At 35.8% G+C, this 20,011-nt stretch overlaps 1 protein-coding gene across 28 annotated transcripts in view; it reads left to right on the plus strand.

Annotated features, from left to right (window-relative positions):
* The window catches only part of SMARCAD1 (SNF2 related chromatin remodeling ATPase with DExD box 1), an 83,685-nt gene extending 65,678 nt beyond the window's left edge, over window positions 1-18,007 (plus strand). For 10 of the 28 annotated variants that reach the window (NR_164736.1, NR_164722.1, NR_164723.1 and 7 more), the window contains 13 exons: window positions 332-431; window positions 1,453-1,512; window positions 1,605-1,680; window positions 3,054-3,189; window positions 3,737-3,874; window positions 5,137-5,232; window positions 5,331-5,448; window positions 5,638-5,765; window positions 7,307-7,495; window positions 8,187-8,305; window positions 9,836-10,018; window positions 11,675-11,784; window positions 16,188-18,007. Coding sequence is in view for 11 of the 28 variants with exons in the window: in NM_001128430.2 (NP_001121902.1) it covers window positions 332-431; window positions 1,453-1,512; window positions 1,605-1,680; window positions 3,054-3,189; window positions 3,737-3,874; window positions 5,137-5,232; window positions 5,331-5,448; window positions 5,638-5,765; window positions 7,307-7,495; window positions 8,187-8,305; window positions 9,836-10,018; window positions 11,675-11,784; window positions 16,188-16,249 (1,515 nt within the window). In the remaining 17 variants the exon portion in view is untranslated. Of the gene's footprint in view, window positions 1-331; window positions 432-1,452; window positions 1,513-1,604; window positions 1,681-3,053; window positions 3,190-3,736; window positions 3,875-5,136; window positions 5,233-5,330; window positions 5,766-7,306; window positions 7,496-8,186; window positions 8,306-9,835; window positions 10,019-11,674; window positions 11,785-16,187 lie in introns of all 28 variants that reach the window. The other 18 variants (NR_164724.1, NR_164729.1, NR_164734.1 and 15 more) reach the window with 5 other exon arrangements.

The following is a 20,011-nucleotide window of genomic DNA, read 5'->3' on the forward strand; positions in this document are numbered from 1 at the left end:
GTGGATATTAAACATTCACTGTGTCTAAGCAATAACCAAAATTATATCCTTTCCATGCAATGCAAAAAGTCTTCCATATTAATGTGTATTGTATATGAACTAGCAATGAAGATCTATCCACTGCTCAGTAAAGTAAGTTATAGCATCATTTGGAGATTATAATCAATTCTGTCATTTGAGAACTAAGAACATAGTAGAAATTCCTTTAGAGTTGCATTCTGGGAAATCAAAAGTGAATACAGCACAGAATTACTGCTTTTTCTTCTGTATTTTTATGTATTTATTTTTTGTTTGTTTTAAAATGTTATATATTGTCTTTTAAACTTTTTAGGGCCTAGGAAAAACTATTCAAGCCATTGCATTTCTGGCATACCTCTATCAGGAGGGTAATAATGGTCCTCATTTGATCGTTGTTCCAGCTTCAACTATAGGTTTGTAATACTGGAGACAACTGTATTTAACTTTATCATGTTTTATATAGGTAGAAGAGAGTGTGTGTAAGGGTGTGTGTCGGAGGGGTGTTGTGGTTTCTTAGTTTGTAGAGATGAATATTAATTTTATGGTCTCTTTATACTTTTCTCCTTTGTTTATATATGTGTGTTTGATTATATTGGCAGTCTTTTAAAAAGAACTCAAATGTAAGTCAGTTTTAAAATTTTAGACCAAGGACGATTTATGTTGGTTTCATAATACTTTTAGTTACTTTTAAAAGTGACTAAGAGAAAATGAGTACTTTTAAATGTAGAATTAAACAGATACGTAATTAATTCCTACACACATAACTGTTCCATTCTTTCTCAATTCGTTGGATGTAGAAGTTAGAATAAGAGAATATTTGTACATGTGAATGTAACAAAGAAAACCCCCTTCTCTTTAAATTGGAGGTTAATAATCAACTGTAAATATAATATTTGGTCATCTGCCCTTCATTTTGATGCCTCACAAAACCTCAAGATCATTTTACATAGGTTTCATAAGGAGTAATATTGTAAAGGGTCTGTGATAAAAACAATCGCCATGGTATTTATATTTTAATTTTTAATTTTTATTTATTTTTTTTAAGACAGTCTCGCTGTGTCACCCAGGCTGGAGTGTGGTGGCTCAATCTTGGCTCACCGCAACCTCCGCCTCCCAGGTTCTCGTGCCTCAGCCTCCCGAGTAGCTGGGACTACAGGCGCCCGCCACCATGCCTGGCTAATTTTTGTATTTTTAGTGGAGATGGGGTTTCACCATGTTGGCCAGGCTGGTATCAAACTCCTGACCTCAGGTGATCCACCCGCCTCAGCTTCCCAAAGTGTTGGGATTACAGGCATGAGCCACCTTGCTGGGCCAGTATTTACTTTTTATAAAAGACTGATTTCTGAGTAGCACTTGTCAAAGTTTAGTGTTAATTTAACCATGTGAACATACCCTATTGTAGCAGATGCAAATAATGTCTCTTCTGTTCCATAGATAACTGGTTAAGGGAAGTTAATTTATGGTGCCCTACTTTGAAGGTCCTCTGTTACTATGGTAAGAATATGTCATTCTGCTTTTAACTTTGGAAATTAAAAATAAAGTACAGCACAATAAATAGTCATGTGTTTATTGTTTTTAAATTCTAGGTTCTCAAGAAGAACGTAAACAAATTAGATTTAACATTCATAGTAGATATGAAGATTACAATGTAATTGTGACCACGTAAGTATTGAGAAATTTGGGGAGGATGGATATTTATGCAGCCCCCAAATTTAAAAAAGAAATTGTAGTAGTACTATGTAGGAAAGTTTATGCTGTTAACTGTGATACGAAAGTAATAGAATGACTAATGTTGAGGATTCAGGCATTTTTTAGTTTGGTGTGTAATACCCATATAGGAGGTTTTTGTTAGTGAATCACCTCATTAATGGTGACTATAAAAAGGTTTTGCCTAGTTATTGAAAAAAGTCGTCTTGTAATAGTAATTTCTCAGTTAAGCTTAAAGTAAAATTTGAGATATCCCACCAAAATTATTTATATTTTTAACTTACAAATAAGTATCTGTAATAAATACAATGAAATTTCATTTTCTCAATGAAAAATTTGAGTTAGGGCAGAAATAAAAATGAAAAATAATACTAATAATACTACTTGGTAATAATTGATGTAAATATCTTGCACAGAACTTAATGCTCTTGTGTTACATTAGTTGATTTATTTAAAGTTCTATTTTAACTGTAGTTATTATTTCTCTCTACTGGCTTCTTGTGTAGGAGTCTGTCCTTTAAAAATTCATGCGGAATTTTATTTTTTCTTAATAAAACAGGCTCCATATGCAGTCTCAAGCTGCTAGCTATTAACTATTATTTCTTGGATCTAATCTGCTAGTTTAATAAAATATTAAGTTTTAAAGAGAAACATGTTTTAGCTTCACGTTCTTTTTTGTGCTTATTAAAATATAACACTTCATGGAGCAGATTACTTACAAGTTATACCCAAATTGACCTCCTCCTGGGTATGTAGAAGTTGTCCGATTGTAACATTAACATTTTCTTTTTTTTTTTTTTTTTTGAGACGGAGTCTCACTCTGTCCCCCAGGCTAGAGTGCAGTGGCGCGATCTCAGCTTACTGCAACCTCTTGCCTCCCGGGTTCACGCCATTCTCCTGCCTCAGCCTCCTGAATAGCTGGGACTACAGGCGCCCACCACCACACCCGGCTAATTTTTTATATTTTTAGTAGAGACAGGGTTTCACCGTGTTAGCCAGGATGGTCTCGATCTTCTGACCTCGTGATCCGCCCGCCTCGGCCTCCAAAAGTGCTGGGATTACAGGTGTGAGCCACCGCTCCCAGCCTTTTAACATTTTCTTTCAATTATGTATTGCAGCTTTCATAGCTTGGTTACAGTGTACATCAATAATTATTAAATACAAGTACGTCAGTATTTATTTGAGTATCACCCGTGTCTAGTGCTGTGCTTTAAGTACTGGCTGTTAGAAATGTGTAAATAAAAAATGATTTTATAAGACATTAAATTTCACTAGACTCCAAGCTCTTAAAGGTATAACCTTAGAGATGTTTTTTCTTTTGGTGACAGATATAACTGTGCGATCAGCAGTTCTGATGACCGTAGTCTGTTTCGACGGCTGAAACTTAATTACGCAATTTTTGATGAGGGCCATATGCTGAAGAATATGGGCTCCATTCGCTACCAGCACCTTATGACAATTAATGTAAGAGAATGTTTGTAAAGTTTTCCAAATTACTGTAAAATTTAGATTACGTAATTTAATATATGTAGTATTTATTAGCAGAATCTGTATTATGTAGTTTAATATATGTAGTATTCTGTGTTAGCAAGTTTTTTCTGTAAAAGGGAAGATAGTAAATATTTCACACTTTATGGACTAGATGGCCTCTGTCACGTATTCTTTGATTTTGTTTTTTAACAACCCTTTAAAAAATTATTAGGTCATAAGCCATAATTTACCTGTTCTATATGTTAAACTATTTATAAATAATCTTTCATCATCTCATAAAGGTGATACGAGGACACAAGTTACCTACTTATAAAAGAAGACCAATGGTTTTCGTATTCATTGCTGTTGATAATAGCGGACGTCAATTATTTAAATTACTATATCATTTATCACAGAATGTTAAATTATTAATAATGGTTTTAATTTATCTCTCCTCCCTTCACCTTTCACTGGGGAGGATAGACATGAAAGGAGTGGCTCTTTAAGAAAAAGCTAATATAAATTTTACCTTCATTCACAGGCAAATAACCGTTTGCTGCTCACAGGCACACCTGTACAGAACAATCTGTTAGAACTCATGTCGCTGTTGAATTTTGTTATGCCACACATGTTTAGTAGTAGCACCAGTGAAATACGAAGAATGTTTTCCTCTAAGACAGTAAGCATAAATGCATATTTTCTCCCAAATATGTTATTTGTGTTTTATCTGGGCCATTCTTCTGTTAGGTCTCTTTTGTTGTTTTCATAGTGCATATGCTCTATGAAGTAACTTTAAGTAGGTGATAACTCTATATTTGGATTGGTTTGGAAACCAGCCAAAATATAATGGGAAAGAAAATAGCAATTTCCCTAATCAATGGCCAGAAGTCTTGGTTAATATCCTAATTTTCTGAAGGATGACGATTTTAAATTGATGAAGAGCTCAGATATATAGTATGTGCGGAAAGTTTGATCATTACATCATCTGTATCAAAATTGGCTACGTAAATTAGTAACATTTCTTTATGGGTAAACTATAAAACTAGACAAAGCTAGAATATCCAGAAAATGCCTATGCTGAGAAATATATTCTGAAATAAAAGTTCATAAAACCAAAGTCACAACTAAAAGCGACAGTAAAGAAATCCTCTTCACAAGAAAAGTTTTGTTACTTCTTTATTGTTTAGGAAAAGTATAGTCTTCAAGAACTCCCAGTTTTTTCAATACCGCAGTGTTTACACTGATTCTTGGCTCTCTTCCACATCACTAATCTTTTGCAAGAATTTTCTGTGATACTCGTCCACTGCAAATTAACTGCCTTTTAAACATTTACTAATTTGAATTCCCTCCCACTTAATGTACAGTGTTTTAAATGGCCTAGCAGATTTTATGAACCATTTTCTATCTTCAGTTCATAATATATGGAGGACTCCTTCACATCCTAGAATAAAATTCTACTTCTTAATTCTCCAGAGTCACCAGTTCTGACTAAGCACTATTCCCCATTTTTAGACCAAGTGATTTGCATCAGTCTGCACTAGCTTCCTTTTGGGGCCATTTTCCACAAAGAAATAAAGGATTTTCTACCCCCCACGCTCCTCCTTACCCACACTTAGACACATTTTTCAATGAGAGTTATCTAGGTAATCGATACATGACTCATCAGTTGATGACTTCTGAACACCCATCTGGTACAGTTCAAATTGATTACTTCAGTAGAGAACATGATTACGTATCATAAAACTTCAAAATACATATGGAGCTTCAAGAAGTACATGGCAGCCCAGAATTCAGATGTGAAGTGCCATCTAGAATGAATCAAGTTTCTGCAGAAAATAACTCAGACTCTAATGAGGGAGATTTTTATGTTGTGTAATAATACTGTTATTGCAATAATTTAAGTGAATAATTCCTAAAAGGATATGTTTTTATTTTGCTCAGAAATCAGCAGATGAGCAAAGCATATATGAAAAGGAGAGAATAGCACATGCAAAACAAATTATAAAGCCATTTATTCTCAGAAGAGTAAAAGAAGAGGTAATGCATATCTACATGTTTTTTATTTTTATTGTTTTTAAAACTTAGGTTTTTCTCTTTACTAGAATGATTATCTTAAACTGTTTTTTCTGTCTCAGGTTCTCAAGCAGTTACCCCCCAAGAAAGATCGAATTGAGTTGTGTGCAATGTCGGAGAAGCAGGAGCAACTCTATTTGGGTCTTTTCAACAGATTGAAAAAATCTATCAATAACTTGGGTATAATCTGATTTTTACTCTTTTATGTGAAAAAGAATCTTGTACTGGGGATGCATTTTGTTTAGTCATATAATGGGATTTGTGCATTTTAAAAAATTATCTGGAATTTGAGGAAATAATTTTAAAACTTAGTTGATATATTTCAACAGTTATCCGCTTGGTTTTATTTTTTACTGTGTTCTCTTTGAGTCACAGAAAAAAACACAGAAATGTGCAATGTCATGATGCAGTTGAGGAAAATGGCCAATCATCCTTTATTACATCGCCAATATTACACAGCTGAAAAACTCAAGGAAATGTCTCAGCTTATGCTAAAGGTAAGGATTTCATATTATGTTAACACTAAGCTTTAATAAGAGGTTAAGTTGTTAGGCTATAAGATTGGTGAACCCAATGGGCATACTAAACCTTTAACTACATATTTAAGAAAAACTTTTTTTTTTCAGACCAGGTCTGGTTCTGTTGCCAAGGCAGGCAGTCTGGGCTCACTGCAACTTCTGCCTCCTAGGCTTAAGCCATCCTCCTGCGTTGGCCTGCTGAATAGCTGGGACTACAGGCACGCACCACCATGCCCGGCTAATTTTTTTGTACGGATGGGGTTTTGCCATGTTGCCCAGGCTGGTCTTGAACTCCTGAGCTCAAGCGATTCGCCCGCCTTGGCCTCCCAAAGTGCTGGAATTACAGGCATCAGTCACTGCACTGAAACACGAAAAACACATTTTAGACTAAGTTCAAAATGATCTGGGGGACATAAAAACAAAGAAGGACTGATAACCTACATTATAAGTCAGCAAACTATGGCCTTACGGCAGTGACTATTTTTATAAATAAGGTTTTACTATAACACAGTCATGCCTGTTTTTGTTTTCTGGGACTGCTTTCTCACTACAGGGGCAGAGTTGAGTACTTGCCTTACAGGTCATTTTGCCTACAAAGCCTAAAATATGATCTGGCCCTTTACAGGAACAGTTTGCTAACTCCTAGTCTAGACTTCCATAATGCACTTCTTTTTCATTTTATTTCTTTATAATTTTAGCAATTACTCTTTATTTTTGCCTCTTTCTCCTTTAACATTTTAACCTTATTTATCCTTACTGATCTTTGGTTGAAAGCAACCCATTTTCTTCCTTTTCTTTACTTTTTTTTTTGAGATAGACTTTTGCTCTTGTCGCCCAGGCTGGAGTGCGATGGCATGATCTCTGCTCACTGCACCCTCCGCCTCCCAGGTTCAAGTGATTGTCCTGCCTCAGCATCCTGAGTAGCTGGGATTACAGGCACCTACCACTACGCCCAGCTAATTTTTGTATTTTTAGTAGAGATGGGGTTTCACCACGTTGGCCAGGCTGGTCTCGAACTCCTGACCTTAGGTGATTTACCCACCTCGGCTTCCCAAAGTGCTGGGATTATAGGCGTGAGCCACTGCACCTGACCAACCCATTTCTTTTTAAATTTTTTTTTATTATTTTAAACTTATGGAGAATTTCAAACATTTATAAAAGTAGAATTGCATAATGAAACTGCCCATATGTTACTTCACCCCTTTGAAAGTTACCATTTGATAATAACACCACCCTTGTTTCATCTATACCCCAGACTTCTCCCCAGGGTTATTTTGAACCAAGTTCTAGATGTTATTTCATCTGTAAATATTTTAGTATGTTATCTCTCAAACAGTAAGGACTTCTCCCCCTTTATTATACCTAAAAGATTAATACTAATTTTCCTTGATAAGTCTGTTACACTAAAAGGTTCTATGATTTAGATATTTTATCAGGTATAAACAGTTTTATTAAACTTTTCTCATCATATTATTAATTATTTTTATTTTGAAGTATACTGTGTTTTGTTTTGTTTTAAGGAACCTACACATTGTGAGGCTAACCCTGACCTGATCTTTGAAGATATGGAAGTTATGACAGACTTCGAACTACATGTACTTTGTAAACAGTACCGACACATTAATAACTTTCAGTTAGACATGGACTTGATTTTAGATTCTGGAAAATTTCGAGTTTTAGGATGCATCTTGTCTGAATTGAAACAGAAGGTATTAAAAAAGAATGGCGTTTCTTTTGTATTTTCTCAATTACTTTAACTTCTTAAAGCAATTCTGGCACACTGACTTGCTTGAATTAGCCTATGTCTGTTCTGCATTCTTCCAGAACTTAGTGTTTTGAACATTTTCTTGACGTATTTTCTTGATTACCTCCTTTCCTCTGTTGAACCTCAGACAAAAACAATAGAAAGTTAGTAGACTGTATCTGTATTGATGTTTTAAAAAAATCTTAATTGTCATTATTTCATAGGTGACAATCTGTATGTGTGCTTCAAAATTAGTTTTTAAAGACACTATTTGTTAGTTATTTAAGTAATGCTGCCGTTTATGTGTGAAATAGCCTAAATTTGTAAAATCACAGTCCAGATAATACATACATAAGCAGTTGTCCACATTTTCCGACGTTTTTCTTATGAAAAGGAAGTAATTTAACTGTTCTTAAAATCAAAACTGAGAGCTAGCTTTTAGCCCTGAAGTTAAGGCAGTTTATTCATATATAGGCTGCAATAAGACATACGTCTTCGGTATTACTGATTTGTATTAAAGAAGCAGTTTATCACAGAGAATTTTCTGCAAATTTATCAACATGATATAAGTAACACTTCTAACTGTTTAAACCTGTCAAGGCTTTGAGTAGTAAAACGATTTTTTCTATTTCTAATTCATGTATGTATTTTCACAGGGTGATAGAGTTGTGTTATTTAGCCAATTTACCATGATGCTGGATATCTTAGAGGTTCTATTAAAACATCATCAGCATAGGTACCTCAGATTAGATGGAAAGACTCAGATTTCTGAAAGGTTGGTATAATTCATGTTAGTTACAAAAAAATAACTCATTTATTATTATTGTTAGGATTTTAATTGTCTAACAAACAATTGATAGTATTTTGTTGTTTTTATGTTTGATTACTTCAAATCATTACCTTAAAATAAGAGTAATTTCAATGGTCAGGCATGGTGGCTCACGCCTGTAATCCCAACACTTTGGGAGGCTGATGCGGGCGGATTGGTTGGGCTCAGGAGTTCAAGACTACCCTGGACAACATGACAAAACCCTGTCTCTACTAAAAACACCAATAGCAACAACAACAACAACAAAAATAGCCAGGTGTGGTGGTGCACGCCTGTGGTCCCAACTAGGGAGGCTGAGGTGGGAGGATTGTTTGAGCCCCGGGGGGCGGAGGTTGCAGTGAGCCAAGATCGCACCACTGCACTGTAGCCTGGGTGACAGAGCGGGACCCTATCTCAAAAAATAAATAATTTTCTTTTAAATTTTCTTTCTGAATTACATGCAAATACGTTTTTTTGTTTTTTTTTTTTTTTTTGAGACGGAGTCTCGCTCTGTCGCCCAGGCTGGAGTGCAGTGGCGCGATCTCGGCTCACTGCAAGCTCCGCCTCCTGGGTTCACGCCATTCTGCCTCAGCCTCCCGAGTAGCTGGGACTACAGGCGCCTGCTACCACGCCCGGCTAATTTTTTGTATTTTTAGTAGAGACGGGGTTTCACCGTGTTAGCCAGGATGGTCTCGATCTCCTGACCTCGTGATCCGCCCGCCTCGGCCTCCCAAAGTGCTGGGATTACAGGCGTGAGCCACCGCGCCCGGCGCAAATACGTTTTGAAACAGCTATTAGAATTGTATTTTTTATGGTTTTCACCTTTAAATTTTTTTCAAAGTCTAAAACACCTTATCTTTCATCAAGATTGTTTTAAAATCTTTCACATTTTAAGGGTAATTAAAGTTTTTTTAATTCCCAAAGGTTGTAAAGATTGAGCTTAGTAAAGAAGGGATTGTCTTAATAAGGACGGAATTGTGTAGTATGTTTAAATTGCATTATATATTTTGATTTATTTTTTTTCTGTTGGCCAGAGTGGTTTTTTCCCACCCGCATTAGACTAAAGGTAAAAGTAATGTTTTTTTTTTTTAAAGAAGAGAATCCACTTACACAATTTGATCATGAAGTCCTTGATTCATCAGAAATGTTGTCTGCCAGTAGGAGCCGATATACTTCTGAGAAGGTTAAAGATTGAAAAGCCATACACAGAATTTAGCTAAGCCACAAGTTTAAAAAGGACAAAATAGTCATTTAGGAATTAATTGAATCTGAATAGTTGAATTGAAGTAAGAGTTGGTAGGGGTAGCAATATCGTAGAAAAGAAGTTGGGGAATTGAGGAGGCTCTTCAGTGATATAGCCAGAGGAGAAATAACTGCAATACTAAGAGATGTACATACATCTTCAGGTTTCTTTTTCATGTGATAATGATTGTTTTCCATTTTAATTACATTATACAACTTTTTAGTGAGATTTAACCTAATTTGTTTATCTTACAGGATTCATCTAATTGATGAGTTTAATACCGATATGGATATCTTTGTGTTTCTGCTATCAACAAAAGCTGGTGGATTAGGAATAAATCTGACTTCAGCAAATGTTGTTATACTTCACGATATTGACTGTAATCCTTATAATGACAAACAAGCAGAAGATAGATGCCATAGAGTAGGCCAGACTAAGTAAGTGTTTTTAGTTGGAATGTATTTTTAATTCAGTGCCACTTTAATTTGTGTAGACCATTAGAATATAGTGTTGGATGTCCTGCCTTAGTTTTTGTTTTTTCGGCAAAGCATGGCTACTGATGTATTTTATACCAGCAGTGTTGAACATCAACTGCACTACGTAACCCTTCCATTTTCTAGTAATTATCCACCCACATTCCAAATAGTTCTGCAGTTCATGAAGTATTAACAATTGACGGCCGGGCGCCGTGGCTCACGCCTGTAATCCCAGCACTTTGGGAGACTGAGGCGGGCGGATCATGAGTTCAGGAGATCGAGACCATCCTGGTTAACAGGGTGAAACCCCGTCTCTATTAAAAATACAAAAAATTAGCCGGGCATGGTGGCGGGTGCCTGTAGTCCCAGCTACTAGGGAGGCTGAGGCAGGAGAACGGCGTGAACCTGGGAGGCAGAGCTTGCAGTGAGCCGAGATCACCACCACTGCACTCCAGCCTGGGCGACAGAGCAAGACTCCATCTCAAAACAAACAAACAAAAAAATTGTCTACCCCTTTGAAAAAGATGAGTAATTAAAAAAACTTGCTTGTTAGATCAGTTAAGTCCCAGACAAACTTGGTAATATACAAACTTGCTGGGCTGTCCTGTTACCCTTTAGGAAGTAAATTGAGTTGTAAATTATTTTAGATGAATGGTACATTTTGACATTGGTCACAGCACTGTAAAGAGGTGAAGATAGCCGGGCACGGTGGCTCACACCTGTAATCCTAGCACTTTGGGAGGCGAAGGCGGGTGGATCACGAAGTCAGGAGATCAAGGCCATTCTGGCTAACATGGTGAAACCCCGTCTCTACTAAAAATACAAAAAAAAAAAATTAGCCAGGCGTGGTGGCAGGCGCCTGTAGTCCCAGCTACTCGGGAAGCTGAGGCAGGAGAATGACGTGAAGCCGGGAGGCGGAGCTTGCAGTGAGCCGCGATCGCACCACTGCACTCCAGCCTGGGTGACGGAGCAAGACTCCGTCTCAAAAAAAAAAAAAAAAAAAAAAAAAAAGAAAAAAGTAATTTCCATCTGAACACAGAACTGTTTGTTGTAATGTAGTTGTAATGTTTTGTTTTGTTTTTGAGACAGAGCCTCACTCTGGCTGGAGTGCAGTGGCACCATCTCTGCTCACTTCAATCTCCACCTCCCAGGTTCAAGCAATTCCCATGCCTTAGCCTCCCAACTGCTAGGATTACAGGTGTGTGCCACCACACCCAGCTAATTTTGGTTTTTGTTTTTTTTTTTTTTCGTTTTTTTTTTTAAGTGGAGACAGGGTTTTGTCATGTTGGCCAGGCTGATCGGCTGATCTCGAACTGCTGGCCTCAAGCAATCCACCTGCCTCAGCCTCCCAAAGTGCTGGGATTAGAGGCATGAGCCACTGTGCCCAGTCAGTAATTTACTTTAAATACAAATATCTTTCTCTTTTCTTCCATCTGTAGGAGTGTCTAAAAGTTAAATAGTCAGAAAATGTCAGTCTCAAGTGGCTTAAATAAAAGAATTTAAGGATATGTTTGTCGTAATTTTCAAAGTATTCTTTTTGAACTCTTAAATATAGTTTACATATATCCAAATAACTATATTTAGTAACCAATGGACATATTTTGTATTTTTTTTTAGAGAAGTACTAGTTATAAAACTAATAAGCCAAGGGACGATTGAAGAATCCATGCTAAAAATTAACCAACAGAAATTGAAACTAGAACAGGATATGACTACAGTAGATGAAGGTGAGTTGTTTGTAAGCAGAAACTTCAATATTTATCTATATGACCATGCATCTAATTAGTCAGTGCAAGAGGATGACAAAGATGGCTACCTTAACTAGCTTACAGTTTAGGGATGATGTGTGATGTGGGAGAAGGTAAGCATGTTTATTTCAAAATACTAAAATAATTTTTTTGAAGTTTCTTAAGTTCAAAATTTTTATTTTTGTATATGTTTTTGAAAAGAATATGTTCAAAACTCAGAAATGAAAGAACAGACGCCTCCTAGTCGCCCCATCTCCCAACTTCCCCAATAGAGGTGACAAGTGTTAGCCTTTTGTTTTTGTGTGTGTGTGACCAGTTATTTTATGTGTATAAAAATAAACACGTGTTCTTTCTTTTATGGGAGAAAGGGTGCATGTCAACTTACGATACACTCTTCTGCATCTTTTCTTATTTAATGTTAAATTAATTGGAAATAAGCAAGTTTTTTCATTCTAATTCCTAATATTGATAATTGTTCATTTTAATTTAGCAAATTTCTGTTCATGACAGACACTGTTATGTCTGTGTTATATTAGGCACTCTGTTCTGTAAAAATCAATATACTTTAATCTGTCTACAGCGAGAGAGAAGTGCGTATGATCAAATAATTACTAGTCTTTCTTGCGTAGCATTTATTTCAGGGTGCTGTGGAAGCTTGGGGAGGTGGGCGGTAGAGAAAGTTTGAGTAAGAAGCAACTGAGATCTTTAAGAGTAAGGATAAGTAGAGTGATCATAGTTAAACAATTAGCAGTCATTACTAGGCTTTGTGTGCATGTGGCAACTTGCCAGTTTCAGGTTGTCCAGGAAATACAGTAAAGTGAATGCATAAGGCAGATTCTCTTTGGGCAATGTTTTCCTTATTATTTTGGTAGGGCAGCTTTTAGAATTTAGTAAAGCATTTAAATTCTTTTTCAGCAATACTAGCAAATATCCAAATATATGGATTTTATTCTAACAAGTTTCTAAATATAATAGAACCATAATAGTTGATAAAATTAACTATAAGTCTTTTCTTATGGGCTAGTTCATTTCCTCAGAGGGAAATTTTTCAACCTCCTGTGAAGTGAAGAGAGGTAGGGAGAGAGGTGGTATGAGAATGGCCCTGAGAAATGAAGGAGGGAGGTTTGTTCTCTTATTTAAATATTAATAGTTAATCTGCCTGTTTTCAGCAGCCTCTTTCTTCTCTTCTATGACAAGTCCAGAGTTCCTCAGACTCATGTTCTCCAAAGAGAATAAACCTTCAGTTTTATACATTTGGAGCAAATGGCTGGCTCTCTTGGGCAAGCTTTAGACATCTTACCTGTTCAAGCTGATTATAACTTCATGTTTCCCATTTACCCCCATTTCCTGAGCTTTGAAGGTAGAAGGGTAAGGATTCTGGGTGTGAACTAGCCTTGCATTTCCCACCTGCAGACACTTAAGCTTTTACTTTATTATCGAAAATCAGTTTCCATTCTTTCATCGTTTTCTTTCAAAAGTTGTAGACAACTCTCTGTCTGCTGTTGTCTTTTTCTCCTATTCTTTCTCCTTTGTCTAATTCCCTTACACTTTTTTCTCCCATCGTATTTTAATGGTATTATGGGTGATGGGAACAGAGGTGATGTGTATGTTTGATCATTTTCAGTCATAATGTAAATTATTTGTATTTGTATAAATTTGGTCAGTCTAAAATTTTGCCTGTTATGTTCACCTACATTGTCTGTTAAAATAGCAGTGTATTTTTAGCTGTGCTCTCAAGCCAATAGCTTTGAAGTGTTTAGTTATGAAGAATCCTGCCCTCTCCTTACCACTTTTTTCAGAGTCTTGCTCTGTCGCCCAGACTGGAGTGCAGAGGCGCAATCTCCGCGCACTGCAAGCTCCGCCTCCCGGGTTCACACCATTCTCCTGCCTCAGCCTCCCAAATAGCTGGGACTATAGGTGCCCGCCTCCATGCCCAGCTAATTTTTTGTATTTTTAGTAGAGACGGGGTTTCACCGTATTAGCCAGGATGGTCTTGATCTCCTGACCTCGTGAGCCACCGCGCCTGGCCTCTCCTTACCACTTTTCCTAGAAGTTTTCCTCTATCTTGTTAAAGCTGTTTATATGTGTTTTTCCCAGTGTGTATTTTATTTGCTAGAATAAGGATGTAATGGCGTCTCTTATTTACTCGTTTAGCTGTAATCATTTGTCTTCAGCTGTGTCCCGGGTTTCATTTAGGTAATTTTGACACTGGACTGATGATAATACATGTATGCCCTTCTTTCCATCTCTCACAGTGAGGTCCTTTTCCTCTATAAACAAAAATGTATATTTGTAATTGACTATGTATTGCTTTTTGTTACCAATCTGTTTGTCCCCTCTTACATGAAACTATGAAAGGTAAAGACCATGATTCCTCTCAAATATGCTTATCAGATTTTTGTGTTCCTAGAGCTTGCCTTAGTTGTTACCAGAGTACCAGCAGCAGGAGCAGCATCTCCTAAGAAATTGGCAATTTGAAATGCAAATTCCCAAGCCCCATTCTATACCTACTTAGTCAAAAACTCTGGCGATGGCACCTAATAATACTTGGTTTAACAGGCTATTGAAGTGATTCTGATAAAGCTAAAATCAGAGAACCACTGCTTTAAAATAAAGATTGTGTTTGGGTTTTTTTTCATTAACTTCCCTTAATGTATTAATTGTATTAATACATTTTTTACCTTTTGGAACTTTAAAAATATATATATATTACCACAATCATGACTACATACTTTTTGAATTTTTTTATTACAGAAATAGTCATACAAAAATGAAAGCAGTGGCTGGGCGTGTGGTTCATGCTTATAATGCCAGCACTTGGGGAGACAGGCGGGAGGATCGTTTGAGCCCAGGAGTTCAAAACCAGCCTGGGCAACATAGCAAGACTCCATCTCTATTAAAATATATATATATTTTTTTAATTGTTGAAAGTATAGTATGAATGAAAAATACAGCGATTTAACAGTTGTGACATTTGCAGTGTTTGTTTTTTCTACTTCTTTTTTCCCATTGATCCATAATAAAGTCAATTGTAAACATGGCAATTTATTTTCAATATCACAGCATATTCCTCAAAGTTGGTACAATACCATTGTAGCATCTAAGAAAATAAACAGTAATTTTCAGACATTATCATATATTATTCATATCCAGATTTCTCTCATTTGTCCCCTTAATGTCTTTTATAGCTTTCCTTAAAACACTAGGGTCCAAAGTTCACACACAGCATTTTATTGTATTCTGTCTTTAGTATCTTCAAGTTTAAAAGAATCTCCTTATTCTTTTCCTTCTTTTCTCTTCTCCCTGCATTCTTCCTAACATAGTATCAGTTTATATAGTAATTTATGAAGTGTCAATTTGGATTTTATGGGCTATTTTCAAGTCTGTGGATGAGCTTGGAAGCAAGGATGTCAGTGAACTGACATCCCTAAGAGTTGATGTACTATTTTGTGTTCCTGTGGATATATGTGTTTTGTTTTGTTTTTTGTTTTTTTAACAGAGAAAAGAAGAGTGGATGAAAGTACTCATAATTTTAGATTATAGCTGAGGTGTATATTTGTGAGAGAGGGGAGGAGGAGAGAAGTGGTTAGTTTTGCTACATTTCAGCCACATCTAATTTATAAAATTATTCATAGTTACAGATCTATCACAGATCAGCAAATATTTGAATTGCCACCTGTGCTGTTGTCACTAACTAGTAAATTAATCAACTCATCTCAAAATATTCTCAGTGCTAAATTGAATTAATCAGGGATGGCTAGATTATCTGCCACTGTGACACAAAGAGATTTAGAAAATCTCAAATAATTCCTGTAAGTGCTTATACTGGGGCCTCATTTAATTAAAATATAGGGCAAACATTGGATAAACCAGGTAATTTAAAGTGGCTAATTTAATCATCAGCTGGTATGCTGTGCTCAGAATGTTGTTTATATGTATACAGTGTGGGTCTGAGTCAGTGATTATATCTTTAGATGAAAAATAAGAATATAGATTGGTTTTCGTTGGTTTAGGTTTGGGTTTGTTATCCTTGTTTTCCCTACTCCATTTCTTACATAAATGTTTTTTATTTAGCAAATGTGAGAAGTTAAGTACCATGAATTAGATACGATCCAGTGTATTACCGTGTATTTTTATATAGCTTTATAAAATTGGAAAAATAACCTTAGATTGCTATGTTGGCAATATGAACAAGAACATAGAGGAAATAGCCCTAATCTAAGTAGAGCTTAGGAAAGTTTTTAACAGGGGTGAGTGACACTGAAGCAAACTAGCCCTTGAAAGATGAGTAAGAATTCACCAAAGAAAAAAAATAATTGAGACAATTTTTTTTTAAGTAAAATATTTTTATAAAGCTTTTAATGCTACTTTCTGACCTACAGGTGATGAAGGGAGTATGCCAGCAGATATAGCCACATTACTAAAAACATCAATGGGCCTGTGAAATAAGAACTGTGAACTCTCAATTGATGAGGAAATATCAACTTGGTGCACTCAAGGACATTTACATTATGATGACCATGGGGTTTATGAACATTTATAACTTTTTATAATTTCCATATTACATTTCTCATAGTATGGACAACTTTTTGCCACTAACTGAATTCTCCAAATACTCACACGTGAAATTTCAAAAAAGAAGCCACAAATATGTAGTTCTGAAGATGTTGAATAATCATTTTACAAAGCAGTTTTCTGAATGGGGATTAGTTGGTGATTGTTTGTAACAAATATGCTAATGCTTTAGAAATGTCAGTATTTTTGTAATTATTTCTACCTCCAAATATATATATATTGTCTTTCACTGGATAATGTGTGTAGATTTTTACATGTGCCTTATTTGACAATGCTTATGTCTTGTTTTTGCTTGTCTCATTTGAAGTTCTTTTTTATTATGTTAAAGAATGCAGCTGTATAGATTATATAGCTTTCATTTTATTGCTATTTGAAGCAGATGTTCACCAATGTCAGCAAGAACTCAACCTGAATTTAAAGGTGGCATTCCATATACTAACATCCCCCAGGTCCTCTCAAGTACTTCTGCTGAAACAAATTTATTTGGCTAGGCACTAAGTTGTTTTCCAGTGAATAGTAACTAAAGAAGCCCCTACCTTGCTCCATGGATTAATTCCTTCTGTTCATTTTCCAACTGCACTAATTGTGCATATTACTCTGCCTAATCTTGTGCATGTTTTCATTGATTTCCCTCTCCCGGCTTTTGCTTCTCTTGAAACTGTTGCCCAGTCACTTCTGCTCCAATTCTCTTCCTCTCTAAATAGTAGTTTATTACTGCCACATCTCCATGCATCAGCAAAATGTTGGTGACATTTTTCTAGCCTGGCAGAACAGATTACTTAAAGCTATTTCATTTCAAAGCAGACTGAATGTGACTTCATCTAAAGGCAGCATTAGGTACTGCATGGAAATAGGTCATTAACTTGAAACTCTTATCAAAATATATTTTACCAGTTTCCAGAATTTCCAGTACAGGACCGCCTGAAGAGAGAGCCATTGTTCAATTCCAATTCAGTGTGAGTGACAAAGTGAAATTTAGAAGTGAAGTTGTCTATTTGATATTTAACTCTTTATTAAATCTTTCTTTAAATTTCTGCCTGTCAGTCTATATTGCTGTTTTTATTATACATCAGTTTCTTTGTATAACTTGTGAGTTCCATGTGTTTTGTTTTTATTATGTAAATATCATTATAAATAAACTTATTTATAAATCAAAGATTTGTTAATTTTTGGAAATCATGCTTTTCAAAGCATCCTAACTTGCTAAGATGCTAGGTAGTACGACCCTCTGGATTTGGAAGGCAAATAAAACTCTTACAGTGATTATTTAGATATTAAAGACTGAGAACTCACGGCTTAACCCCAGTCTTGATGGTATATTGAACAGACTGAATATATTTTACCATTACAGGGCTAAAAGGAGTCTTCATGTGTTAATACTACCTCCTTGTACATCACTATACCCAAATCAGTTATTCAAATTGTTAGGAATTTTACCTTTTAAAATCTCATAATGGATATCTCATGTTTTCTGTATTAATGTATTTTCAATGATAGGCTGTTTCTTTTTTTGTTGTTATTGTTGTTGTTGTTATATCCATACTTTTATCTCTAATGAAATGTAGTTGGGTTCTTCCTGTAATGCGCTATTATGTCTTGGGCTTAATAAAAATATTTGTGATCATAAGTTGTATTTTCACACCCTTTTTAATAGTTTCTAACCCTTCCTCCTCCTACCCTTAAAATCATATAATATTGGGCACAAATGAGATTATCTTATGTGCTTAATATTGCCTGTTTGCCAGTAAATTGGAACTTACTACTTAGGATGTATTCTCATTGGTTCCTTCATTGGACTGATGTCAGTAAATACTGTAACCCATTATCACTACAGAGCAAATGAAGCGAGAGTTGGAGTAATATCTTGACCAACTGAAGCATTTTTTAAATGCAAGCTACACAAAGAAGACATGCCTTATGCATTTTTATAACTGTTTGGGACCCCCATAGAGTTTTAACTTTATGCCAGTAGATACTTACTTTGAAACATTACTGTAGTTCCTAACAGTTGGCATTATCGTGTAGTGGAGAGACGGGGTATGAGGAGATTTGGTTTCCATTTGTGTGACCTTACGTGTGATACTTCACAGTCCATAAATTTAAGGAATTCGGATTGTTTTAACTCTTACCAAAAATGTATTTTTGAAATTATAAATTCAATATGCAGTTCACTTTCTGCTTGACTTCACTCTCGCTTAGCCACCCTCTCTTTGTATAGAAGCAAAGAGACATTTAATTTGCATACACAATGGGATAATGGAATGTATTGTCCTTCAGCGCAAAAAGATTACCTAAAGGTTATAATAATGCTAAATATTTCCTTATGAAACTTGCTGTGGTTATACTTTATACTTGTATTATGATTTGTATAAATAGGATTATCTTATTTTGAATTTTCATAATTTTGTATAAGCATTGGATTATCACTTTTACTTAGTTCTGTCTTCATTAAAGCTTGATGTGGGGGAAATTTAGCTATGCAGAAGAGTGAAGAAAAGCTAACTACTTTTATTATCTAGAACATTATTTGCATTTCTTTTGTTAAAGGTAATTTTTCTTCAGATTGCCTGGATTACATGTTGGAGGGTTTTGAATGAGATTCACATACAACCTATTATCATTTACTTATAGCAACTAATAACAAGAAAATTTGATCCAAAGAATCAAGGTACTTAGAAAATACACTGTTTTTATGTGTAATCCTTAATAATTTATATTTGTTATTGTTGTTGTTGTTGTTTTGAGACAGAGTCCCTCTGTCATGCAGGCTGGAGTGCAGTGGCGTGATCTCGGCTCACAGCAACCTGTGCCTCCCAGTTCAAGTGATTCTTGTCTCGGCCTCCTGAGTAGCTGGGATTACAGGTGCCCGCCACCACACCCGGCTTATTTTTGTATTTTTAGTAGAGATGGGGTTTCACCATGTTGGCCAAGTTGGTCTCGAACTCCTGACCTCAAGTGATTCACCCTCCTCGGCCTCCCAAAGGCTGGGATTACAGGCGTGAGCCACTGCGCCCGGCCTAAAGTATTAGGTAACTTTTTTTTCAATTTCATAAAACATTGAGAGGAAAGAAACACCTTAAATAAGATCATACCTATCTGGGCTTTTCTTTTCCTCTTCTTTCTTTCTCCCCAACATCCTCCTCTCTTTTTTGACTTCTTAATTGTGAATAAAGCTTCTGTAAATATATGTGGACAGGTTTTTATGTGGACATGTTTTCAGGTCCTTGAAATAAATATCAAGGAGCACAATTGCTAGATTGTATGATAAGCATATGTTTAGTTTTATAAGAAATTGTCACTGTCTTCCAAGGTAGCTGTACCATTTGTACTCTCATCAGCAACAAATGAGAGTTACCCGTGCTCCACATCCTCGTCAGCGTTTGGTGTTGTCTGCTGTTTTGGATTTTTTACCATTGTGACAGTCATATAGTGGTATCTTGTTTTAATTTGCAGTTCCCTAATGACATTTTGTTGGGCACCTCTTCATATGCTTATTGCTACCTGTATCTTTGTTGAGGTGTCTATTGAGGTCTTTTGCCCATCTTTTGATCAGCTTGTTTGTTGTCTTATTGTTGAGTTTTATGAGTTCTTTGTGTGTGTGTGTGTGTGTGTGTGTGTGTGTGTGTGTGTG

This window comes from Homo sapiens, chromosome 4, assembly GCF_000001405.40.
Source record: "Homo sapiens chromosome 4, GRCh38.p14 Primary Assembly".
Classification (NCBI taxonomy): Eukaryota; Metazoa; Chordata; class Mammalia; order Primates; family Hominidae; genus Homo; species Homo sapiens.